Source organism: Homo sapiens, chromosome 3 (genome assembly GCF_000001405.40).
Source record: "Homo sapiens chromosome 3, GRCh38.p14 Primary Assembly".
NCBI lineage: Eukaryota > Metazoa > Chordata > Mammalia > Primates > Hominidae > Homo > Homo sapiens.
The window spans coordinates 58,926,072-58,953,052 of record NC_000003.12 but is presented as its reverse complement, the minus strand read 5'-3'; the positions used below and the strand labels follow the sequence as shown (position 1 = coordinate 58,953,052).

Here is a 26,981-nt window from a genome sequence, read left to right as displayed (position 1 = left end):
ATCCTTTATTTTTATTCCATAGTCCTTATTGGGAATTGACATACTATATGTGGACTAGTTTATTTATTACTATCTTCTCCATTAGAACAAGCTGGAGACCTTGTTTTTTTCACTGTGAAATCCCCAGTATCTACGTCCAGACTTGAGAGCAAGTAGGTGCTCAATAAGAAGATGAGCCAATATGTAACTCTGGTAGGGCTTCAAAAAAGGCCACTTAGCAAATATTTCCTAATTAATTATAAACCCCTGAACCTAGCTCTGTGAGAGTACTGTGATAAGCAGGATGTGATCTCAGTTCCCTGGGGTGCTTACAGGCTAGTAGAAGAGTTTATATATAACAGCCTGACGCCCACACTTTTTTTTTTAAATCAAGACTCACTGGAGCAGAATAAAAGATGTCATAGCCTGCAACCCCACCCATTCCCACTTTCCAGTAAGGAGGTTGGGACATTGATAGAGAGAGGATTACATAGGCATCTATGAGCCACTTATGTTTTAGTTAATAGAAAATTAAAGGCCAGAATTCCACAGGGTTCAATGAACAATCCACAGCCACCCAAGTTGATGATGGTTACTTGAATACAAGCACTGCAATACGGTGACAGTCAATCTGATCACCCAAGACAGCTGCTAAATGACTAACAGGTGGGTGGCATCTACAGTGTGGAGACTGGAAAAAGGGAGAATTCACATCCAGGGTGGGATGGAGTAGGATGATGAGAAATTTTATCACACTACTCAGAGCAGCATGCAATTTAAAACTTATGAATTATTTATTTCTGGTATTTTCCACTTAATATTTTTGGATCCTGAGTAACTGAAACCACTGGAACATGAAACCACAGATGAGGGGGACTACTGTAATAACGTATCACTGAAAACTAAGAATAGCACTACTTGAAAACTACAATGAACTCAACGCTGATGATGAATTTGTAATAAATGGTTTTCCTCCCAAATTTCCAGAAATTCCATCCCTACCCTACCCCCTAACCATCATGTTTTATATGTGTCCACTAGGAACTTTGCAAATTGCCCAGCCTTTCGGGGCACTCAGACGTTTTTGTGGAAGTTAACATGAGGAACTTATCTAAACTCTAAAGTGAGCTTTGGAACACCAAATTCTAGTAACCCTTTTTTTTATTATTATACTTTAAGTTTTAGGGTACATGTGCACAACGTGCAGGTTTGTTACATATGTATACATGTGCCATGTTGGTGTGCTGCACCCAGTAACTCGTCATTTAACATTAGGTGTATCTCCTAATGTTATCCCTCCCCTCTCCCCCCACCCCACAACAGGCCCCGGTGTGTGATGTTCCCCTTCCTGTGTCCATGTGATCTCATTGTTCAATTCCCACCTATGAGTGAGAACATGAGGTGTTTGGTTTTTTGTCCCTGCAATAGTTTGCTGAGAATGATGGTTTCCAGCTTCATCCATGTCCCTACAAATGACATGAACTCTTCATTTTTTATGGCTGCATAGTATTCCATGGTGTATATGTGCCACATTTTCTTAATCCAGTCTATCATTGTTGGACATTTGGCTTGGCTCCAAGTCTTTGCTATTGTGAATAGTGCTGCAATAAACATACGTGTGCATGTGTCTTTATAGCAGCATGATTTCTAATCCTTTGGGTATATACCCAGTAATGGGATGGCTGGGTCAAATGGTATTTCTAGTCCTAGATCCCTGAGGAATCGCCATACTGACTTCCACAATGGTTGAACTAGTTTACAGTCCCACCAACAGTGTAAAAGTGTTCCTATTTCTCCACATCCTCTCCAGCACCTGTTGTTTTCTAACTTTTTAATGATCACCATTCTAACTGGTGTGAGATGGTATCTCATTGTGGTTTTGATTTGCATTTCTCTGATGGCCAGTGATGATGAGCATTTTTTCATGTGTCTTTTGGCTGCATAAATGTCTTCTTTTGAGAAGTGTCTGTTCATATCCTTCACCCACTTGTTGATGGGGTTGTTTTTTTCTTGTAAATTTGTTTGAGTTCATTGTAGATTCTGGATATTAGCCCTTTGTCAGATGAGTAGATTGCAAAAATTTTCTCCCATTTTGTAGGTTGCCTGTTCACTCTGATGGTAGTTTCTTTTGCTGTGCAGAAGCTTTTAGTTTAATTAGATCCCATTTGTCAATTTTGGCTTTTGTTGCCATTGCTTTTGGTGTTTTAGACATGAAGTCCTTGCCCATGCCTATGTCCTGAATGGTAATGCCTAGGTTTTCTTCTAGGGTTTTTATGGTTTTAGGTCTAACATTTAAGTCCTTAATCCATCTTGAATTAATTTTTGTATGAGCTGTAAGGAAGAGATCCAGCTTCAGCTTTCTACATATGGCTAGCCAGTTTTCCCAGCACCATTTGTTAAATAGGGAATCGTTTCCCTATTTCTTGTTTTTCTCAGGTTTGTCAAAGATCAGATGGTTGTAGATATGCGGTGTTATTTCTGAGAGTTCTGTTCTGTTCCATTGGTCTATATCTCTGTTTTGATACCAGTACCATGCTGTTTTGGTTACTGTAGCCTTGTAGTGTAGTTTGAAGTCAGGTAGCATGATGCCTCCAGCTTTGTTCTTTTGGCTTAGGATTGACTTGGCAATGCAGGCTCTTTTTTGGTTCCATATGAACTTTAAAGTAGTTTTTTCCAATTCTGTGAAGAAAGTCATTGGTAGCTTGATGGGGTTGGCATTGAATATATAAATTACCTTGGGCAGTATGGCCATTTTCACAATATTGATTCTTCCTACCCATGAGCATGGAATGTTCTTCCATTTGTTTGTATCCTCTTTTATTTTGTTGAGCAGTGGTTTGTAGTTCTCCTTGAAGAGGTCCTTGTAAGTTGGATCCTAGGTATTTTCTTCTCTTTGAAGCAATTGTGAATGGGAGTTCACTCATGATTTGGCTCTCCGTTTGTCTGTTATTGGTGTATAAGAATGCTTGTGATTTTTGCACATTGATTTTGTATCCTGAGACTTTGCTGAAGTTGCCTATCAGCTTAAGGAGATTTTGGGCTGAGACGATGGGGTTTTCTAGATATACAATCATGTCATCTGCAAACAGGGACAACTGGACTCCCTCTTTTCCTAATTGAATGCCCTTTATTTCCTTCTCCTGCCTAATTGCCCTGGCCAGAACTTCCAACACTATGTTGAATAGGAGTGGTGAGAGAGGGCATCCCTGTCTTGTGCGAGTTTTCAAAGGGAATGCTTCCAGTTTTTGCCCATTCAGTATGATACTGGCTGTGGGTTTGTCATAGATAGCTCTTATTATTTTGAGATACATCCCATCAAAACCTAATTTTTTATTGAGAGTTTTTAGCATGAAGGGTTTTTGAATTTTGTCAAAGGCCTTTTCTGCATCTATTGAGATAATCATATGGTTTTTGTCATTGGTTCTGTTTATATGCTGGATTGTGCAATCAAACTATAACTCAGGATTAAGAAACTCACTCAAAACCTCAACTACATGGAAACTGAACAACCTGCTCCTGAATGACTACTGGATACATAACGAAATGAAGGCAGAAATAAAGATGTTCTTTGAAACCAACGAGAACAAAGACACAACATACCAGAATCTCTGGGACGCATTCAAAGCAGTGTGTAGAGGGAAATTTATAGCTCTAAATGCCCACAAGTGAAAGCAGGAAAGATCTAAAATTGACACCGTAACATCACAATTAAAAGAACTAGAGAAGCAAGAGCAAACACATTCAAAAGCCAGCAGAAGGCAAGAAATAACTAAGATCAGAGCAGAACTGAAGGAAATAGAGACAAAAAAAACCTTCAAAAAATCGATGAATCCAGGAGCTGGTTTTTTGAAAAGATCAACAAAATTGATAGACCTCTAGCAAGACTAATAAAGAAGAGAGAAGAATCAAATAGACACAATAAAAAATGATAAAGGGGATATCACCACCAATCCCACAGAAATACAAACTACCATCAGAGAATACTATAAACACCTCTACGCAAATAAACTAGAAAATCTAGAAGAAATGGATAAATTCCTCGACACATACACCCTCCCAAGACTAAACCAGGAAGAAGTTGAATCTCTGAATAGACCAATAACAGGTTCTGAAATTGAGGCAATAATTAATAGCTTACCAACCAAAAAAAGTCCAGGACCAGAAGGATTCACAGCCGAATTCTACCAGAGGTACAAAGAGGAGCTGGTACCATTCCTTCTGAAACTATTCCAATCAATAGAAAAAGAGGGAATCCTCCCTAACTCATTTTAAGAGGCCAGCATCATCCTGATACCAAAGCTGGGCAGAGACACAACAAAAAAAGAGAATTTTAGACCAATATCCCTGATGAACATCGATGCAAAAATCCTCAATAAAATACGGGCAAACCGAATCCAGCAGCACATCAAAAAGCTTATCCACCATGATCAAGTGGGCTTCATCCCTGGGATGCAAGGCTGGTTCAACAAACGCTAGTAACCCTTTTAAACTCAATTAGAACATTACTACCAAGTGACAAAACTGGAATATATGGGACTACATGTTATTTAACTGTGAAAACAAAGGAAAAGATGTGCATATTTGCATCAGTTCATGGCTCATAAAGTGGACTATAGTCATGGACCAAAACCACAAAGGGGAATGAAAAAATTCAGTAATAGAAGTTAAAAAACATGCTGTAGCAAGTCAATAAAAAATGTGATTAAAATCTGGAGATCGAAGAAGTTTTCAGGGAGGAGCTGGCATTTCAACTCAAACTGTGATAGATGAATATAATTTCAGTTGGCATAATAAAGAGAGAAGGGGCTTTCCAAGGGAAGTGCATAAGCAAAGGCATGAAAATAGAAAAGAATGTCATACATTTAAGTAGCAGGAAGCATACTGGTATTGTCATTGTGGCAGTCCACTCCAGTGTCCCATGTCATGTCCTCTGGACCCACCTCTGCTATCAGCTGCACTTGACAGTTTGGTGCAAGTTAGTGCAAGTGCACCCTAGAGCCTCCTTTGATGCTGTGGAGGCCCACTTCACCCATGGACCCAAGTTCCAATATACAACTTGGAAATACTGGGGAGTTAAGGCCCCTAAAGGCAGCCCGTAACCCTTGGGGATTGGGAGTCAGTGATTATGTGCTCCCATCTCCCACCCTTCAGGTGGTCCATTCTGTAGGCTGTTCTGTACATGTCTTCAGAAGTCCCAGTGGAATGGAGCCCCTGTGACTTGTAGTGCTGTCACTGATAGTACATTCTTATATTGCCTTTTCCTCCTTTGTTGTCCTATTCTCCCTGCTCCCTCACTCCTGCTTCATGAGATTACCTCTGAAATAGACTACTTGCACCGTATTTTAAATTCTACTTTTGGAGATGTGCTTCCTAAAGACGCTGCACAACACAGCCAAGTATATGAGATATCTCTAAGGATTGCATTGGCCAAAAAACTCACAAGAATTGGAGACCTTACTCAGTATTGAATTTTATAAATATTCTCAAGGATATAAGTCATGAAGTACACATGAAGCAGAAGGAGATCCAGTCCTTTCTAAATGCACATGGCCCAGATTTAATGGGTAAGTTCTCCGAGCAATACCTGAGGGAGAGCTACCAGCCCAAAGAGAGCTTATTTTGGCTACTTCATATATTTGTAGCTTATGTGGCATTTTTCGGGGAGCGATGCCCCCATAAGCCCATGGATTCCAGGTTTGTTGACTACAAGCAGTCCTAGACGTATCAGGTATATCCTGCAAAAGGCTTTCCATTAATAACTTTTCCCCTAATACCACTGGTGCATTTGCCAGGGAAGTTCGCTCATGTTTACAGGGAGTTTTGGCTGGTCTTATATCTTTTTTTTCTGGAATGCCCTTTAGTAAAGTAAAGTAAATGGTTGCAGGCCTGCTGCTCTCTTTCCTTCCCAGAGGAAGCATGCAACCTTTTAAAAACACTGAGCCAGGTAACTACTAACCTTGGAGTTGTCAGATAGACTTGTAAATAATTTACCATTATTGCTCTTGCCTCATCATTTTAGGCTTTAGTAGGTCTCCTGGCTCTGCTACGTACTATCTATGAGACCTTGAACAAGTTGCTTAATGTCTCTGAGCCTCTCACTACATTGGTAAAATGTAAATATTCATTCCTATTTCAAAGAGTTGTTGGGAGGAATAAATGAGATAACACAGGTAAAATGGTATGCAGGTTCTGGCACATGGTAGGGATTTAGATGTTGCTCTTCCATGTCCCATCCTCTTCTAACTATTTATAATTATATCCTTGATTTCTCCCCTGCTGAGGTCTTCTTGATGTCTCATATTAAAACTCCCAGCAACCAATCTTGGCTTTCTTCTGCGTTTCCTCTCTTCCTCTTGTACCAATTCGGATGTTCTCTCCTGGAGTCTCGGGTGCTAACCCCCTGGTTTCTGTCCTGCACATTTTTCTTCATGGGGTTTGACAGGAGCAGAGGGTAGCATACAGGAATGTGGTGACAGGCGATACTGGGGTAGTGGATAAGGGTCAGAATTTGGAGGTCCCTGAATAACAAACAAGACAAGAAACTTGGACTTTATTCCATAGACTATAAGATGCCAAAAAAGAAATTGGAACTTAGGGGTGACATTCAGTCTCCATGGCTGGTCCACATGAAGAATGGACTGAGAGATAAAACACTGGGGGCTGGGTTGGGTGGCCCACGCTGTAATCCCAGCACTTTGGGAGGCCAAGGTGGGCGGATCACCTGAGGTCAGGAGTTCGAGACCAGCCTGGCCAACATAGTGAAACCTGTCTCTACTAAAAATACAAAAAATTAGCCGGGCATGGTGGCACATGCCTGTAGTCCCAGCTACTTAGGAGACTGAGACACGAGAATCGCTTGAACCTGGGAGGCAGAGGTTGCAGTGAGCCGAGATCACGTCACTGCACTCCAGCCTGGGTGACAAAGTGAGACTCCATCTCAAAAAAAAAAAAAAAAAAAAATTGGGGCAGTTGAGAAACCAGTAAAAGAGGCCATTTCAAGCAACAAATGACCTGAACTTTGTAACTGTAAGAAACCAAAGGAAAAAAATAGATATGAAACCACTAAGAAAGTGACTTTGGGCTGGTCGTGGTGGCTTATGCCTGTAATCCCAGCACTTTGGGAGGTCGAGGTGGGCCGATCACGAGGTCAGGAGATTGAGACCATCCTGGCCAACGTGGTGAAACCTCATCTGTACTAAAAATACAAAAATTAGCTGGGTATGGTGGTGTGCGCCTGTAGTCCTAGTTACTGGGGAGGCTGAGGCAGGAGAATCGCTTGAACCAGGGAGGCGGAGGTTGCAGTGAGCCGACATCGCGCCACTGGACTCCAGCCCAGTGACAGAACGAGACTCCGTCTCAGAAAAAAAAAAAAAAAAGAAAGTGACTTTGACAGCATGTGGCAGCTAATTGGATTGGTGAAGTTCAGATGCTCATGATGACCAGCAATCAGTGATTCTCAGGAGTCCTCGCTAATAACTGAGAGGATTTGAAGTAAGTATGTGAGGCCTATTGTGAGGTATGAGGTTACCCCCAGGAGCCTGGGAATGAGGAAAATAAGATTAGCCTCCAAAATTTTAGTTGTAAGATAATAATCATTGGATCAGAGCTTTTTTTTACCTATCAAAAGGAAGGATTTGTGGATGGAAAGAAGATAATCTCATACACACATACACACAAAAGGTAAACATGAACTGTGTCCATTCAAACACAGTGTAGGGTAGGCATCTTAGCCATTAGATATTAAATATCTTGTTCCCAGGAGGAAAGGTCATTCTACTATGCATGTGTTTATAGGGATCACCTGCCCCAAAAAGAAAGCAAGCATGTACTTCAGAAGGTGGATACTGGGATTAATTAGATCTGAGTTTAAATCTGCACTCTGCTGAATGTGTGGTTTGGGGAGAGATACCTAGCCTTACTAACTAAGCTTTAGATTCCTCATCTGTAAAATAGATGATAATAATAATAGTAGATATCTTGTAGGGTTTATGGGAGGATTAAATTAGATAAAGTATATAGAGTGCTTAATACATTGTTGGCATATAGAGAATGTTCAATAATTGATATTTAATAATGATATTTTTGGAAAATGTATGCATCTTACACTGAAGTCTAAGTCAGTCATTTGGATTATATGCTAAGTCAACAAATCCTTCTGATACTTGATAGATTTTTTTTCTTTACACGAATTAACACATTTCAGTAGTTTACACTCCAGTCTTGCTAGCTTGGAGATCATCCTTCTGGAAGGCCTTACACAGGATCATGGATGGAGGCACAAATTTGTAACCTATTGGAAAACTGGATCCAGAATGAAGCAGGAAGAGGTTCTAAAGCAGTGAGAGAGAGGGAGAAGTGAAAGGGGAGTGGTTTTCAGCAGAGAAACAAGTATTATCTTAAGAATATAATATGGTTCTGTGGTTCTCACCATACTGTAAACTCTATAAGGACAGAAACCAGGGAATCCTTGGTACTGCTGTATTCGGAGCACTTAGCACGATGTCTATACTAGTCTCTTGGTAAACAGTGAACAAATGAAACTGCTTCAGCCTGGAATAGTAGTCGGCATAGTGTTGCATGACAGAAATGGCAGTGGATTTTAAGTTCAAAGACAGAATGGTAACACTTGTCTCTGCTACTTACTAACTGTATATCCATGGGCTGGTAATTTCTGGAGTCTTATTTTCTCATCTGTAAAATAGAAAATGAATAAAAGTGTTAAAAACAACTATTTAAGAATAGTTACTTCTCTCTGGCTGCCCTTAACATTTTTTCCTTCATTTCAACCTTGGAGAATCTGAGGATTATGTGTCTTCAGGTTGCTCTTCTCGAGGAGTATCTTTGTGGTGGTCTCTGTATTTCCTGAATTTGAAAGTTGGCCTGTCTTGGCTAGGTTGGGTAAGTTCTCCTAGATAATATCCTGAAGAGTGTTTTCCTACTTGGTTCCATTCTCCCCGTCACTTTCAGGTATACCAATCAAATGTAGGTTTGGTCATTTTACATAGTTCCATCTTTCTTGGAGGCTTTGTTCATTCTCTTTCATTCTTTTTTCTCTAATCTTGTCTTCACGCTTTATTTCATTAAGTTGATCCTCATTTTCTGATATCCTTTCTTCCGCTTGATTGATTCGGCTATTGATACTTGCGTATGCTTCACAACATTCTTGTGCTGTGTTTTTCAGCTCCATCAGGTCATTTATATTCTTTTCTAAACTCGTTATTCTAGTTAGCAATTCCTCTAACTATTTTTAAGGTTCTTAGCTACCTTGCATTGGGTTAAAACATGCTCCTTTAGCTTAGAGTAGTTTATTATTACCCACCTTCTGAAGCGTACTTCTGTCAAGTCCTCAAACTCATTCTCTGTCCAGTTTTGTTTCCTTGCTGGCGAGGAGTTGTGATCCTTTGGAGTAAAAGAAGTGTTCTGGTTTTTGGAATTTTCAGCCTTTTTGTGCTGGTTTTTCCTCATCTTCGCGGATTTATCTACCTTTGGTCTTCGATGTTAGTGACCTTTGGATGGGGTTTTTGTGTGGACATCCTTTTCATTCATGTTGATTCTATTCCTTTCTGTTTGTTAGTTTTTTGCTAACAGTCAGGCCTCTCTGCTGTAGGTCTGCTGAAGTTTTCTGAAGGTCCACTCCAGACCCTCTTTCCCTGGGTATCACCAGCAGAGGCTGCAGAACGGCAAAGATTCCTGCCTGTTCCTTCCTCTGGAAGCTTCATCCCAGAGGGGCACCTGCCAGACGCCAGGCAGAGCTCTCCTGTATGACGTGTCTATTGACCCCTGCTGGGAGGTGTCTCCCAGTCAGGAGGCACAGGGGTCAGGGACCCACTTGAGGCGTCTGTCCCTTAGCAGAGCTCGAGCACTGTGCTGAGAGATCTGCTGCTCTCTTCAGAGCCGGCAGGCAGGAACATTTAAGTCTGCTGAAGCTGCACCCACAGCCACCACTTTCCCCAGGTGCTCTGTCCCAAAGAGATGGGAATTTTATCTATAAGTGCCTGACTGGAGCTGCTGCCTTTCTTTCAGAGATGCCCTGCCCAGAGAGGAGGAATCTAGAGAAGCAGTCTGGCTACAGCGGCTTTGCAGAGCTGCACTGAGCTCTGCCCAGTTCGAAATTCCTGGTGGCTTTGTTTTCACTGTGAGGGGAAGACTGCTTACTTGAGCCTTAGTAATGGCAGACGCCGCTTCCCCCACCAAACTCTAGTGCCCTGGGTTGATTTTAGACTGCTGTGTTCTCAGTGAGAATTTCAAATCAGTGGATCTTAGCTTGCTGGCCTCCATGGGGGTGGGATCCACTGAGCAAGACCACTTGGTTCCCTGGCTTTAACCCCCTTTCCAGGGGAGTGAAGGGTTCTGTCTCACTGGTGTTCCAGGTGCCACTAGGGTACGAAAAAAGACTCCTGCAGCTAGCTCGATGTCTGCCCAAACAGCTGCCCTGTTTTTTGCCTGAAACCCAGGGCCCTGGTGGTGTAGGCACCTGAGGGAATTTCCTGGTTTGTGGGTTGCAAAGACCATGGGAAAAGCATAGTATCTGGGCCAGAATGCACCGTTCCTCATGGCACAGTCCCTCACGGCTTCCTTTGGCTAGGGGAGGGAGTTCCCTGACACCTTGCACTTCCCAGGTGAGGCAACGCCCCACCCTGCTTTGGCTTGCCCTCCATGGACTGCAACCACTGTCTAACCAGTCCCAGTGAAATGAGCCGGGTACCTCAGTTGGAAATGCAGAAATCACCTGCCTTCTGCATTTATCTCACTGGGAACTGCAGACCGAAACTGTTCCTATTCAGCCATCTGCTGGCACATATCATTTTATTTTTTCTTTTACAGCATAAAAATCTTCAACAAAATACTAGCCCAATTGAAATTTCCTCCAAGAATACAAAGTTCATTTCACATTTGAAGATCAATGAGTATAATTAAATATATAGACAGAATAAAGGTGAAAAACAACAGGATAATTTCAACCAGTATAGAAAAGGCATTTAACAAAATTCTGCAACCTTTCATGATTGAAAAAAGAATGTCTAAAAAAGTAGAATGGAAAACAACATCCTCAGTGTGATAAAGTAAACTACGCTCTAACATCATACTTAATAAGGTCATAATGAACACTTTCTCCCTGTGATTGGGAATAAAGCAAGGGTATATATTGTAATGATTTCTATTTAAGATGTGCTGAAGGCCCTAGCCATTGCGGTAATGCAAGAAAAAGAAATGAAAGGGCCGGGCACAGTGGCTCACGTCTGTAATCCCAGCACTTTGGGAGGCCGAGGCGGGCGGATCACGAGGTCAGGAGATCGAGACCACGGTGAAACCCCATCGCTACTAAAAATACAAAAAATTAGCCGAGGGCAGTGGCGGGCGCCTGTAGTCCCAGCTACTCGGGAGGCTGAGGCAGGAGAATGGCGTGAACCCAGGAGGCGGAGCTTGCAGTGAGCCAAGATCATGCCACTGCACTCCAGCCTGGGCCACAGAGCGAGATTCTATCTCAAAAAAAAAAGAAAAAGAAATGAAAGTTATAAAGTTGAAAAAGCAGAAGTAAAACAGTCTTTATTCACTCCGGGACATGATTGTTTATGTATAAAATCCTCAGGAATCTACAAAACAACTACTGGAACTCAAGAGTGAATTAAGCAAAGGTCAGAGGAAACAAGTACCATATAGAGAAATCAATTGAATGTCTATATACTAGAACCAAATGACTGGGAAGTGAAATTTTCTTTTTTTTTTTTTTTTTTTTTTTTTTTTTGAGACGGAGTCTCGCTCTGTCGCCAGGCTGGAGTGCAGTGGCACAATCTCAGCTCACTGCAGCCTCCACCTCCCGGGTTCAAGCGATTCTCCTGCCTCACCCTCCTGAGTAGCTGGGATTATAGGCATGTGCCACTACACCCAGCTAATTTCTGTATTTTTAGTAGAGACGAGGTTTCACCATGTTGACCAGGATCATCTAAATCTCTTGACCTCGTGATCCACCCGCCTCAGCCTCCCAAAGTGCTGGGATTTCAGGCATGAGCCACTGCGCCTGGCCCTGGGAAATGAAATTTTGAAATTCATTTTCAATTGTGTCAGAAGACAAAATACTTAGGAATAAATTTAACAAAAGATGTGCAGGGCTTCTAAAATGAAAACTATAAAACATTAAAAAAGAAATTAAGCAAAGCCTAAATAATTGGAGATACATATCATGTGAGTAGACATGATCAGTATCATTCTCCTGAAATTGGTCTATAGATTCAACACAATCCAAGTTAAACTCTCAACACTTCTTTTTAATAGAAAATGATAAATGGATTCTAAAATCTATATGAAAAAGCAAAACCCAAACAAATCTTGAACAAAACTAAAGTTGAAGAGTTTCTTTACCTGGTTTCAAGACTTACTCTAAATCTACAGTAATCAAGATAGTGTATTATTGGTATAAGAATAGACAAATGGATCAATGAAAAAAATGAATCAACAGACAGTCCAGAAATACAACCTCACACACATATATTTATGGTCAACTGATTTTCAACAAAGTACCAGGGCATTTCAGTGAAAAAAGGAGAGTCTTCAATAAATGGTGTTGGGACAATTGTATAAACATACAGAAAGAAAAGAACTCCAACCCCTATGTCATACAACTCACAGAAACTAATTTGGGACGAACTAAATGTAAAAACAAACTATAAAGATGTAGAAGGAAACATAAGAAAGTATTTGTGCAACTTTAGCCTGGGCAGGGATTCTTCAGGACACAGAAAGCACTAGCATAAATAATGGTAAACTATATTTCATGAAAATTCACCTGCCTTTTGCACAAGAATAGAGGCTCCAGTAGGATAGGAACCTTGTCTTTTTCATCGCTGTCTCCCTGACGTACTCCCAGCAATTTTCCTGGCTCAGTCTTTGTTGAATGTATGAATGAACAAATGAATGTTCTTGTAGTTCCATATGAAGTGATAGTATACTCAATCATTCCTCCATTTGGAGTTTGACTCTTAACTATTTAGATTAAAAATATGTAGTTTGGCTGGGCACAGTGGCTCACGCCTGTAATCCCAACATTTTGGGAGGCCCAGGCGGGCCGATCACCTGAGGTCAGTAGTTCTAGACCAGCTTGGCCAACATGATGAAACCCTGTCTCTACTAAAAATACAAAAATTAGCTGGGCATAATGTCACGCGCTGGTAATCCCAGCTACTCAGGAGGCTCAGGCAGGAGAATCGCTTGAACCTGGGAGGCGGAGGTTACAGTAAGCCACGATTGCACCATTGCACTCCAGCCTGGGCGACAAGGGCGAGACTCCATCTCAAAAAAAAAAAAAAAAAAAAAAAATGGGCCGGGCACGGTGACTCACACCTGTAATCCCAGCACTTTGGGAGGGCGAGGCAGGCGGATCACGAGGTCAGGAGATTGAGACCATCCTGACTAACATCATGAAACCCTGTCTCTACTAAAAATACGAAAAATTAGCCAGGCATGGTGGCGGGTGCCTGTAGTCCCAGCTACTCGGGAGACTGAGGCAGGAGAATGGCGTGAACCCGGGAGGTGGAGCTTGCAGTGAGCCGAGATTGCGCCACTGCACTCCAGCCTGGGTGACAGAGCTAGACTCTGTCTCAAAAAAATAAAAAATAAAAATAAAATTTTAAAAAATGTAGTTTTATTCATGAAAGCACAGTAGCCCTTTAATAAAACTGTGATAGATGAATTTTTGGTTAATGCAGTCCCTCTTTTTGTTCCCTTTTCCTTTCTAGAATCCCAGTAGTCTTTCCTTTTATTTCCTAATGAGAACTTACAGAAGAGACCTAATAGCGTCTCTGATGACATGATTTTCCAAACATATTTGATCCTGTACCCCATTAGTAAAATATTTGTACATACCTGCCATATAGGGGCATTTATTTAGAAAATATATAAATATGTTACTATACTACTGTATAATGAGACATGCACAAAAATAACATTTTAAGGGGATGAGGTGAAAGTTCTAATGTTTTCTTCCTGCACTTCAGTGGATTGTTGCATATCACTCCCCCTCCCCATGTGTTCATCCCACTTTGAAGACATTGCCTTAGGGTAAATGTGATACTATGTTTACATATATGTATATACATCAGGGTATAATACTGCCATAGTGTTAATACTTCTGCATTTTAAACCTTAGCTCTGACTATGGATTGAAAGACGTTGTATTTTAAATGAATTTATGATATCATTTAGTGCAAGTAGGGTGGAATTTTTAGGTCTGGAGCATACTCTGAAATCATCTTACCTAATTTTTACTGTATTTATTCTTAACATTGTTTAATGATAGTTTTTTTTCACTGAAAGATATGTAGAGTAGTTTAGAGAGGAGCAATACCGAGATTAGAAAAGTGGGAAGGAGGGGGAACGGAAGTGCTGTAGAAAAGACAATGCCAATTTTAAAAACAGTTAATTACACTATAAATATTGACAATGATGCGTTTGAATGAGATGTTGTCTTCTTGGGGATTACTAAATATAGAAAATTAGCAGTGTAATGTGTCTAAACAAAGTTTTTCCCTAATAACGGGGAAAAATCATTCTCAAATAAAAAGTTTTTAAAGAAGCATCAATTCTATAATATAGCAGTGTGAGACAGGTTTGGAGATTTTAAGCCTGCTGTGTTACCTCTGAGACCTAAAGGAAGGAGAACATAAAAATGAGCCTCTATCAATTTGAAGCAAACCTAATCTTTGTGATCATGGCTGTGGTCTAAATCTATTAAAGATGTTCAGATTCAGTGTCCTTGGTATCACTGTGGGTTGACCTGAATAGTGAGCGATAAAGTTGTGTATTATAATTCTGGTTGGAAGATATGTGCTTAGGAAGTGAAACCGACAGCCAGGGTTTTGTGTCTGTCTCTAAGCAGACTAAGAGCCTATACAAAATGACAGATGCATTTTTAGGGAAAGAAACCCATAATGTTTTCCTATTTAGTAGGTGACAGTATGTCCCAAGATAACACAAGCTTAAGGGGCTGGAACAAGTATGGTTATTAAAGGCTAACAGTTTCTCAGTTCATCCAAATTGAATTCTTTCATAGGCTGGAGGACTGTGGAAATCTAGTGTAGAGTACTGAAATAAATTAGCATATTAAGTGAATTTATACATTCAGGCTTCTGAGCACTTTGAATTTAAGAAAGAAATTTTATTACTTCTTGAAAGAAAAAGGCAATTCTTAAATTCTGTGTTTGATCTTCCTGTTGAAAAGGGTCTGTATGATAAATTATATCATTTTGATGATTATCCAAAGAAGTGGTTATTAAATTGATGGGAATCTTTCTGTCTTCTCTCCTCCATGTTTTCAGAATTACTGATTTAGGGAACATCAAAAGAAGATTATATTTATCAACGGTCCATAAGGAACTATCCTCCACCCCTCTTCATGCAAAAATTCCACTCTTCATGATCAAACGTAAAATTGTAAGTATCACATGAATGTTGCCTAAAATATTAAATTCAATTCAACAAATATTACTTATGGGCTGACTCCATATGTGAGGTACTTTGTTAAGTACGATGGTGGTATAAAAAATGAATAAAATTCATGGCCTTCCTTCCCCTCTCTTGAAAGAGCTTAACATCTAAGTGGAATAACGTAATTATTTGAACATCTATAAAATCACCAAAACTGTGTTACAAAGCACAGTGGAGAGAGAAAGTGCTATTGGTAATGTGAAAGGGAAAGGAATCCATCTGACTGGGGATGGGGGAAGGCTTTCTGAAGGAGATAGCACTTAGAGTGGACTTGGGAGAACTCTAAGATTTCAACAGGGAGAGATAGGAAGCCAGGCATTCCAGCAAAAGCAACAGCATGGACAGAAGCGTGGACGCTGGAAAGAGGTAACCTCCGGAGAACAGTGAACAATTAATCTTGTTGCCAGATTGAAAAAGAGCCCTAAGGAAACATTGGTCTGACAGTACAAGAGCCTGATATGGGTTCAGACATTTTAAGTACGTTGTATAACTTCTGAAGGGCCTGATTTTTCTGACAAGTCGTTCTCAAACTTCAGTCATTTCAATATTACTCTCAGTACCCTGTTTGTGTACTACCCATTCTGGTATGCACTTGATACTTTCCTTTAAATCAACACTATCTCTCTTTTTTTTTTTTGGCTTAAATTTATTTTTTTTTAATTTTGTTATTATTATACTTTAAGTTTTAGGGTACGTGTGCACAATGTGCAGGTTAGTTACATATGTATACATGTGCCATGCTGGTGTGCTGCACCCAGTAACTCGTCATTTAGCATTAGGTATATCTCCTAAAGCTATCCCTCCCCGTCCCCTAACCCCACAACAGTCCCCAGAGTGTGATGTTCCCCTTCCTGTGTCCATGTGTTCTCATTGTTCAATTCCCACCTGTGCGGGAGAACATGCGGTGTTTGGTTTTCCGTCCTTGCGATAGTTTACTGAGAATGATGGTTTCCAGCTTCATCCATGTCCCTACAAACGACATGAACTCTTCATTTTTTATGGCTGCATAGTATTCCATGGTGTATATGTGCCACATTTTTTTAATCCAGTCTATCATTGTTGGACATTTGGCTTGGTTCCAAGTCTTTGCTATTGTGAATAGTGCCGCAATAAACATACGTGTGCATGTGTCTTTATAGCAGCATGATTTCTAACCCTTTGGGTATATACCCAGTAATGGGATGGCTGGGTCAAATGGTATTTCTAGTTCTAGATCCCTGAGGAATCGCCACACTGACTTCCACAATGGTTGAACTAGTTTACAGTCCCAGCAACAGTGTAAAATTGTTCCTATTTCTCCACATCCTCTCCAGCACCTGTTGTTTCCTGACTTTTTAATGATTGCCATTCTAACTGGTGTGAGATGGTATCTCATTGTGGTTTTGATTTGCATTTCTCTGATGGCCAGTGATGATGAGCATTTTTTCATGTGTGTTTTGGCTGCATAAATGTCTTCTTTTGAGAAGTGTCTGTTCATGTCCTTCGCCCACTTTTTGATGGGGTTGTTTGTTTTTTTCTTGTAAATTTGTTTGAGTTCATTGTAGATTCTGGATATTAGCCCTTTGTCAGATAAGTAGGTTGTGAAAATTTTCTCCCATTTTGTAGGTTGCCTGTTCACTCTGATGGTAGTTTCTTTTGCTGTGCAGAAGCTCTTCAGTTTAATTAGATCCAATTTGTCAATTTTGGCTTTTGTTGCCATTGCTTTTGGTGTTTCAGACATGAAGTCCTTGCCCATGCCTATGTCCTGAATGGTAATGCCTAGGTTTTCTTCTAGGGTTTTTATGGTTTTAGATCTAACGTTTAAGTCTTTAATCCACCTTGAATTAATTTTTGTATAAGATGTAAGGAAGGGATCCAGTTTCAGCTTTCTACATATGGCTAGCCAGTTTTCCCAGCACCATTTATTAAATAGGGAATCCTTTCCCCATTGCTGTTTTTCTCAGGTTTGTCAAAGATCAGATAGTTGTAGATATGCGGCGTTATTTCTGAGGGCTCTGTTCTATTCCATTGATCTATATCTCTGTTTTGGTACCAGTACCATGCTGTTTTGGTTACTGTAGCCTTGTAGTATAGTTTGAAGTCAGGTAGCGCGATACCTCCAGCTTTGTTCTTTTGGCTTAGGATTGACTTGGCGATGCGGGCTCTTTTTTGGTTCCATATGAACTTTAAAGTAGTTTTTTCCAATTCTGTGAAGAAAGTCATTGGTAGCTTGATGGGGATGGCATTGAATCTATAAATTACCTTGGGCAGTATGGCCATTTTCACAATATTGATTCTTCCTACCCATGAGCATGGAATGTTCTTCCATTTGTTTGTATCCTCTTTTATTTCCTTGAGCAGTGGTTTGTAGTTCTCCTTGAAGAGGTCCTTCACATCCCTTGTAAGTTGGATTCCTAGGTGTTTTCTTCTCTTTGAAGCAATTGTGAATGGGAGTTCACTCATGATTTGGCTCTCTGATTGTCTGTTATTGGTATATAAGAATGCTTGTGATTTTTGCACATTGATTTTGTATCCTGAGACTTTGCTGAAGTTGCTTATCAGCTTAAGGAGATTTTGGGCTGAGACAATGGGGTTTTCTAGATATACAATCATGTCATCTGCAAACAGGGACAATTTGACTTCCTCTTTTCCTAATGGAATACCCCTTATTTCCTTCTCCTGCCTAATTGCCCTGGCCAGAACTTCCAACACTATGTTGAATAGGAGTGGTGAGAGAGGGCATCCCTGTCTTGTGCCAGTTTTCAAAGGGAATGCTTCCAGTTTTTGCCCATTCAGTATGACATTGGCTGTGGGTTTGTCATAGATAGCTCTTATTATTTTCAGATATGTCCCATCAATACCTAATTTATTGAGAGTTTTTAGCATGAAGGGCTGTTGAATTTTGTCAAAGGCCTTTTCTGCATCTATTGAAATAATCATGTGGTTTTTGTCTTTGGTTCTGTTTATATGCTGGATTACATTTATTGATTTGCATATATTGGACCAGCCTTGTATCCCAGGGAAGAAGCCCACTTGATCATGGTGGATAAGCTTTTTGATATGCTGCTGGATTCGGTTTGCCAGTATTTTATTGAGGATTTTTGCATCAATGTTCATCAAGGATATTGGTCTAAAATTCTCTTTTTTGGTTGTGTCTCTGCCCAGCTTTGGTATCAGGATGATGCTGGCCTCATAAAATGAGTTAGGGAGGATTCCTTCTTTTTCTATTGATTGGAATAGTTTCAGAAGGAATGGTACCAGTTCCTCCTTGTACCTCTGGTAGAATTCGGCTGTGAGTCCATCTGGTCCTGGACTCTTTTTCGTTAGTAAGCTATTGATTATTGCCACAATTTCAGAGCCTGTTATTGGTCTATTCAGAGATTCAGCTTCTTCCTGGTTTAGTCTTGGGAGGGTGTATGTGTCGAGGAATTTATCCATTACTTCTAAATTTTCTAGTTTATTTGCATAGAGGTGTTTGTAGTATTCTCTGATGGTAGTTTGTATTTCTGTGGGATCGATGGTGATATCCCCTTTATCATTTTTTATTCCACCTATTTGATTCTTCTCTGTTTTCTTCTTTATTAGTCTTGCTAGTGGTCTATCAATTTTGTTGATCCTTTCAAAAAACCAGCTCCTGGATTCATTAATTTTTTGAAGGGTTTTTTGTGTCTCTATTTCCTTCAGTTCTGCTCTGATTTTAGTTATTTCTCGCCTTCTGCTAGCTTTTGAATGTGTTTGCTCTTGCTTTTCTAGTTGTTTTAATTGTGATGTTAGGGTGTCAATTTTGGATCTTTCCTGCTTTCTTTTTGGGCATTTAGTGCTATAAATTTCCCTCTACACACTGCTTTGAACGTGTCCCAGAGATTCTGGTATGTTGTGTCTTTGTTCTCATTGGTTTCAAAGAACATCTTTATTTCTGCCTTCATTTCATTATGTACCCAGTAGTCATTCAGGAGCAGGTTGTTCAGTTTCCATGTAGTTGAGTGGTTTTGAGTGAGTTTCTTAATCCTGAGTTCTGGTTTGATTTCACTGTGGTCTGAGAGACAGTTTGTTATAATTTCTATTCTTTTACATTTGCTGAGGAGAGCTTTACTTCCAACTATGTGGTCAATTTTGGAATAGGTGTGGTGTGGTGCTGAAAAGAATGTGTATTCTGTTGATTTGGGGTGGAGAGTTCTGTAGATGTCTATTAGGTCCGCTTGGTGCAGAGCTGAGTTCAATTCCTGGGTATCCTTGTTAACTTTCTGTCTCGTTGATCTGTCTAATGTTGACAGTGGGGTGTTAAAGTCTCCCATTATTATTGTGTGGGAGTCTAAGTCTCTTTGTAGGTCACTCAGGACTTGCTTTATGAATCTGGGTGCTCCTGTATTGGGTGCATATATATTTAGGATAGTTAGCTGTTCTTGTTGAATTGATCCCTTTACCATTATGTAATGGCCTTCTTTGTCTCTTTTGATCTTTGTTGGTTTAAAGTCTGTTTTATCAGAGACTAGGATTGCAACCCCTGCCTTTTCTTGTTTTCCATTTGCTTGGTAGATCTTCCTCCATCCTTTTATTTTGAGCCTATGTGTGTCTCTGCACGTGAGATGGGTTTCCTGAATATAGCACACTGATGGGTCTTGTCTCTATCCAATTTGCCAGTCTGTGTTTTTTAATTGGAGCATTTAGTCCATTTACATTTAAAGTTGATATTGTTATGTCTGAATTTGATCCTGTCATTATGATGTTAGCTGGGTATTTTGCTCATTAGTTGATGCAGTTTCTTCCTAGCCTCGATGGTCTTTACAATTTGGCATGATTTTGCAGTTGCTGGTACTGGTTGTTCCTTTCCATGTTTAGTGCTTCCTTCAGGAGCTCTTTTAGGGCAAGCTTGGTGGTGACAAAATGTCTCAGCATTTGCTTGTCTGTAAAGGATTTTATTTCTCCTTCACTTATGAAGCTTAGTTTGGCTGGATATGAAATTCTGGGTTGAAAATTCTTTTCTTTAAGAATGTTGAATATTGGCCCCCACTCTCTTCTGGCTTGTAGAGTTTCTGCCGAGAGAACAGCTGTTAGTCTGATGGGCTTCCCTTTGTAGGTAATGCGACCTTTCTCTCTGGCTGCCCTTAACATTTTTTCCTTCATTTCAACTTTGGTGAATCTGACAATTATGTGTCTTGGAGTTGCTCTTCTTGAGGAGTATCTTTGTGGCATTCTCTGTATTTCCTGAATCTGAATGTTGGCCTGCCTTGCTAGATTGGGGAAGTTCTCCTGGATAATATCCTGCAGAGTGTTTTCCAACTTTGTTCCATTCTCCCCATCACTTTCAGGTACACCAATCAAACGTAGATTTGGTCTTTTCACATAGTCCCATATTTCTTGGAGGCTTTGTTTGTTTCTTTTTATTCTTTTTTCTCTAAACTTCCCTACTCACTTCATTTCATTCATTTCATCTTCCATCACTGATACCCTTTCTTCCAGTTGATCGCATGGGCTCCTGAGGCTTCTGCATTCTTCACGTAGTTCTCAAGCCTTGGCTTTCACCTCCATCAGCTCCTTTAAGCACTTCTCTGTATTGGTTATTCTAGTTATACATTCGTCTAAATTTTTTTCCAAGTTTTTAACTTCTTTGCCTTTGGTTTGAATTTCCTCCTGTAGCTCGGAGTAGTTTGATCATCTGAAGCCTTCTTCCTCAACTCGTCAAAGTCATTCTCCGTCCAGCTTTGTTCCGTTGCTGGAGAGGAACTGCGTTCCTTTGGAGGAGGAGAGGTGCTCTGCTTTTTAGAGTTTCCAGTCTTTGTGCTCTGTTTTTTCCCCATCTTTGTGGTTTTATCTACTTTTGGTCTTTGATGATGGTGATGTACAGATGGGTTTTTGGTGTCGATGTCCTTTCTGTTTGTTAGTTTTCCTTCTAACAGACAGGAGCCTCAGCTGCAGGTCCGTTGGAGTTTGCTAGAGGTCCACTCCAGACCCTATTTGCCTGGGTATCCGCAGCGGTGGCTGCAGAACAGCAGATTTTCATGAACCGCGAATGCTGCTGTCTGATCGTTCCTCTGGAAGTTTTGTCTCAGAGGAGTACCCGCCCGTGTGAAGTGTCAGTCTGCCCCTACTGGGGGGTGCCTCCCAGTTAGGCTGCTCAGGGGTCAGGGGTCAGGGACCCACTTGAGGAGGCAGTCTGCCCGTTCTTAGATCTCCAGCTGTGTGCTGGGAGAACCACTGCTCTCTTCAAAGCTGTCAGACAGGGACATTTAAGTCTGCAGAGGTTACTGCTGTCTTTTTGTTTGTCTGTGCCCTGCCCCCAAAGGTGGAGCCTACAGAGGCAGGCAGGCCTCCTTGAGTTGTGGTGGTCTCCACCCAGTTCGAGCTTCCTGGCTGCTTTGTTTACCTAAGCAAGCCTGGGCAATGGCGCGCACCCCTCCCCCAGCCTCGCTTCCACCTTGCAGTTTGATCTCAGACTGCTGTGCTAGCATTCAGTGAGACTCCGTGGGCGTAGGACCCTCCGAGCCAGGTGTGTGATATAATCTCCTGGTGCGCCGTTTTTTAAGCCCCATCGGAAAAGCGCAGTATTCGGGTGGGAGTGACCCAATTTTCCAGGTGCCATTTGTCACCCCTTTCTTTTACTAGGAAAGGGAACTCCCTGACCCCTTGTGCTTCCCGAGTGAGGCAATGCCTCGCCCTGCTTCGGCTCGCTCACAGTGCGCTGCACCCACTGTCCTGCGCCCACTGTCTGACACTCCCTAGTGAGATGAACCCGGTACCTCAGGTGGAAATGCAGAAATCACCCGTCTTCTGCGTCGCTCACGCTGGGAGCTGTAGACCGGAGCTGTTCCTATTCGGCCATCTTGGCTGCCAGTCCTGCTTAAATTTAATTTAAAAGAAAACTTTATACCACTTTTATAAGTGGAAAACCAGTGTAATTTTCCCAAAATACAACATAAAAATAAACATACTGAAAACAAAACAATATTTTGAGGTCTAACTGGGTACTGTTTCTTGTTTAAGGCTCTGTCCTGAGGGCTGCTGTTTGTTAAAAAGAGTTTATCAAGGATTAGATACATGTTCAGCTATTCTCCCTGTCATAGTTAGGACTGAAGGAAAACTGACAAAGGGACATTTTTATTCTGGGATCCAGAGTTATTTAATGCCACACCCATGTACCGTCTAAAATCATTTCACAAAAGGTACATGTTCCACTCTTTGGGAACTACTGTGGTGGATTTGAAAAGGAAGCCATTAAAGCTTTTGGGCTAGAGAAGGACCACACAGTCAGTTCTGTGCTTTGGGAAGATTAATCTGATAGTAATATTTGCAGTGATTTGGAGGGTGTAGAAATTGGAAGTGAGGAAGTTTTTTGCAGTCATCCAGATTAGGGTTAGTGAGGACTGTGGGGGCAGTCGGGGGAGCAGTGGAGGAATGGATGTGAAGCAACATCAGAAACTTAAAGTCAGATGAGCTAAGACATGTATGTAAACAGACCTTTTCCATACAATGTGGTACATTCTGTGAGAGCAAGAGTCAGAATGAACTACAGAGTAAAAGGAGAGTGGTCAGAGAAGGCCCTCTGAAGAAGTGGGTGCCTGAGCTTGGCCTTGAAAGACAGGAAGGCATTAACCAGTTGAAGAAGGGGAGAGTAGTGCTCCTGGAAGAGAACAAGCAGCATTAAGGGTAGCTGTGTGGTGTGCAGACAAACCCAGTGATCTAGTGTTGCTGAAGAGAACCAAGGAGGTTCCAACAAGGGAGAACAGTTGATATTGGAAAGTATTTAGGGAGCGTGGCAATCATAAGTAACTTCAATAAGAAGTTCTGGTATATCAGGAAAGAGACAGGGCCATGAGCTAAGAGAATGGAAAGTGGCAGCATGGAGTGCATACTGACCATTTCTTTCAGTAGGCAGATCCACTGGGCTTGCTGTTCATGTAGACATAAGTAAAGAATGGGAATTAAATATAACTTTGGAGATTGGCAGCCCTGTAATAAAAATGAGCTTGATTATGGAATAAATGGATGGTTTCTGTTTGCAGTAGAAGTTTTAAAAATTCATTTAATATTAAATATCCATAAATGCTTGAACATTAAATGTGACTCCAGTTATTGAAGTTAAACCATTTAAGACATTTAGGGAAATGCCTTACAAATAAAATTGTATTCATCATTTTATGTTTAGGTATTGATTTCCTTATTCATGTAAGATTCTTCAGAGTTCAGTGTTAGGTGGTTTCTAAGAGTTAAAGCCCATGTGAGATAAATACACTATTCAGTGTGTAGTTAATAAATCAAATTTGTCACTACCTTGCTTTTGTGAGTTCAGTCACCCTTGTCAGTTAACTAACTCTGAAGTCTAGATATTTCATCAAAATCTGAGTATTATGTATGTGGCTGTAACCCACACACATAGTGCACATTCATGAAAATCCAGTATTTGAAAATAAAATGCCATCTTTCCATTATAAGTGAACCACACAAGTATCTTGATGAGATAGGAAGTGAACTTGACTGAAAGGTCTTTCATATTCGATAAATGAGTTTTTCAGATGAATGTGTGTTACGTGTTTACAGTGCTGGGTGTGTAATGACATAAACAATTTAGTATTTAAACTATAAAGAAAGGAGCTATAATAGGTACTGTGGAGCAAAGTTTCCTAATCCTTTTCAATTCATCTGTCTTCCTCATGTTTCTACCCCTGGGCAAGTGGCTCAATAGAGAATATAAAAAAAAGGAGATATAGGCAAGAAAGATAAATATGGCTGTTAAAAAATTAGTGATATGAAGAAATCATATTAGTGACTACCCTAGGTGACTTCAGCTCATGTTATGCTAAATTTTAAAAAGCAAAACAGTCATAGCATATCTAGAACTTTCCTTCTGAATATGGGTAAATCTAGAAAAAATTTGAAGCAGTCTAAACAATAAGAAACAGATAGGGCATTTGTTTCCGTAGTGTTCTCCTCAGGCCCATATGCCAATGCAGTGAGATCATCAAGTCATAATTACTCATAATATGTTCTAATTACTCTATATTTTATTACATATATAACATATAAATAGTATGTAGGGGTTAAGAACGTAGAATCTGGATTCTGATACTTACTAGTTTTGTGAGCCTGTGCAAAGTTCCTGTATCATTTTCCTCATCTATAAAATGCAGTTACCTGAAGTATACACACCATTAAGGTTGTTGTGGGGATTTACATGAATTAATAAGCATAAAGCTCTTAGAACAGTGCCTGGCATAGAGTAAGTCCTAGATAAGGATTATAAGTCCTGTCTGATCTATAGATGCTACTTCTTCCAGGAAGCGCACTATGGTTTTCCCTCTGCAGAGTAGATATTTTGGGCATAGCTCATCATTGCCATTCACAATTTCATAACCCTCATAATACCTCTCCACCTTGCACTTTAACAATCTATTTACTTGTCTGTTTTCCCCAGTAGACTACAAGCATATCTTATTTTACCAGTAGACTACAAGTGTATCATCTCCAGTCCCTATTAGTGCATGGCATATAGTAAGTGATCAATAAATGTTTATTGAACAAATTGACAAATCTTAATGTATCTCCTGACATGGGAGAAAAAAAATGAGTTTATCATGGTCAAATTATATAAGCTTTCTAAATGTGCTTGGTGATTCCACAAATGCCGAGGAGTATTCAAATATTAAGAAATTTGGTTTGAAAACTTGCTCTCATTCCTCCCAATCCAAGAGGTGCTTGGCAGCAGAGGGTCTTTCCTTTCCACTGCTAGTATACTCTATTCCCAAAGAGCCCTTATTTAATTAAAGCTGAGTTGTGTTTTAGGGGAAATTTCTCCAGAGAGCAGCAAGGTGGCAGAGAGCATCTCACCCATTCAAGATGCCATCTCTAGTGGCCTTCCTGTTGTTGATGTGGTATTGGCCCCAGTTCTCTGTTTTTGCCAAAGCACTCTTCACTTCTTTCTACCCCTTAGGAACTAGTAGAATATTTTGTTGGCAAACCTCAAAACAGCATTCTAAAAGCATTTCAGCTAGCACTTATAAATCAGGAAATTTCACGTAAAATTCCTAATTTCAGACCTTCCTTGAAAAAGGTCAGATTTCTCAACATTGAACCTGCCTTATCTCACACAAGCACTTGGTGGGAGCTAAGTAGTAATGGCACACTTCTAAGAAGCTGCAAGCTCTTCTGTAAAGTTGAATCCTCTGTGTACTCATAAGGTATGCAGGTGGACTCAGACCCTTCTTGCTTCACTCATTTCAGTTTTCTGCCTGGGCCTTCTAGGTGTACATTGGCAACCCTTGATTTACAGGATAATTGCCGAATGGTCCACTTTGCCTTGGTTTTTTAGCTAAAGCCTTTAGTTAGCCAGAGGCTGCAAATAAAGTTAATATTCTTCTAGCCACACCAAAATGAATATTTATATATGGGCCACTTTCTGTCCCAAATGCCTTTAAATGTTTCTTTCAAATAAAAATTTTTATATTTCATGTTATTTTTAGCTGTGAAGAGTCACTTTAATATTTAAGTTATAATAATTTATGCTTTTAACTTGGGTTTTCAATGGCAAGAACAATTTTAAAAATTAAAAACTATCCGATTAAATAGAAGTACCCACTTAGTTGAGACTCACTAGAATCAATCTTACTTCTTTAATGTAATTTCAATTAGTTGATGCTGGTGTCAGATGAACATCAATGTCTCGTTACCAAAGTATGTATTAATGTACAGTAAGTTTAATTCCATTTGAATAAGAAGTTCAATTATGAGATATCATTCAGCATAAATCATTCATTGGAGATATAACAAAGTGATATGATAAATTACAATGCCAGAGTCTTTTAGTAACCTCTAGAATTCAGATACCCAGTGTTTGTCATTTAAATGGATAAAATTACTCTTTAGGAGCTATTCCATCTTGAACCACAGCTCTGATGGAATATTTTATAACTTTTATTACAAACTGGAAGTCTGGTATAATGTTTTTAAAACTTCCCCTCATGGATCATTTTTCCCATAGAGCCAATGATGTAGAAGTTTGAGGTTTTTAATAGTGTTTAATTTTTTGAGTGTCATTGAATGAGAAGGGAATGGAGGAGGCAGGTTTATTCAGACAAAAGGTCGTTTAGAAATACGTACAAAATACAATTAGAGAATGTGTCTTAATGATGTCATTCTAACCTAGAATTCATTGTAATGTTGATGGTACTTGATTGAGAGTTTTTTAATGTTTTCATCTCATTTATGTGAATATTATTATTTTTTCTTTTTTTCTTCTTCTTCTTCTTTTTTTTTAATGGAGTCTCACGCACTCTGTCGCCCAGGCTGGAGTATAGTGGCATGATCTCGGCTCACTGCAACCTCTGCCTCTCAGGTTCAAACAATTCTCCTGCCTCAGCCTCCTGAGTATCTGGGACTATAGGCGGCTGCCATCACACCTGGCTAGTTTTTGTATTTTTAGTAGAGACAGGGTTTCACCATGTTGGGCAGGCTGGTCTCTAACTCCTGACCTCAAATGATCCACCTTCCTCAGCCTCCCAAAGTGCTGGGATTACAGGTATGAGCCACTGTGCCTGGCCTGAATATTATTT

At 40.2% G+C, this 26,981-nt stretch overlaps 1 protein-coding gene and 1 long non-coding RNA gene across 29 annotated transcripts in view; one reads left to right on the top strand and one right to left on the bottom strand.

Moving 5' to 3' along the window:
• CFAP20DC (CFAP20 domain containing) overlaps positions 1–26,981 on the top strand; it is a 333,853-nt gene that overhangs the window by 96,973 nt on the left and 209,899 nt on the right. For all 28 annotated transcript variants that reach the window (XR_001740051.3, XR_007095648.1, XR_001740054.3 and 25 more), the window contains one exon: positions 15,291–15,405. Coding sequence is in view for 14 of the 28 variants with exons in the window: in XM_047447655.1 (XP_047303611.1) it covers positions 15,291–15,405 (115 nt within the window). In the remaining 14 variants the exon portion in view is untranslated. The remainder of the gene's footprint in view (positions 1–15,290; positions 15,406–26,981) is intronic.
• Positions 1–26,981, bottom strand: part of CFAP20DC-AS1 (CFAP20DC antisense RNA 1) — a 194,623-nt gene that overhangs the window by 66,041 nt on the left and 101,601 nt on the right. The gene's annotated exons all lie outside the window — the stretch shown is intronic.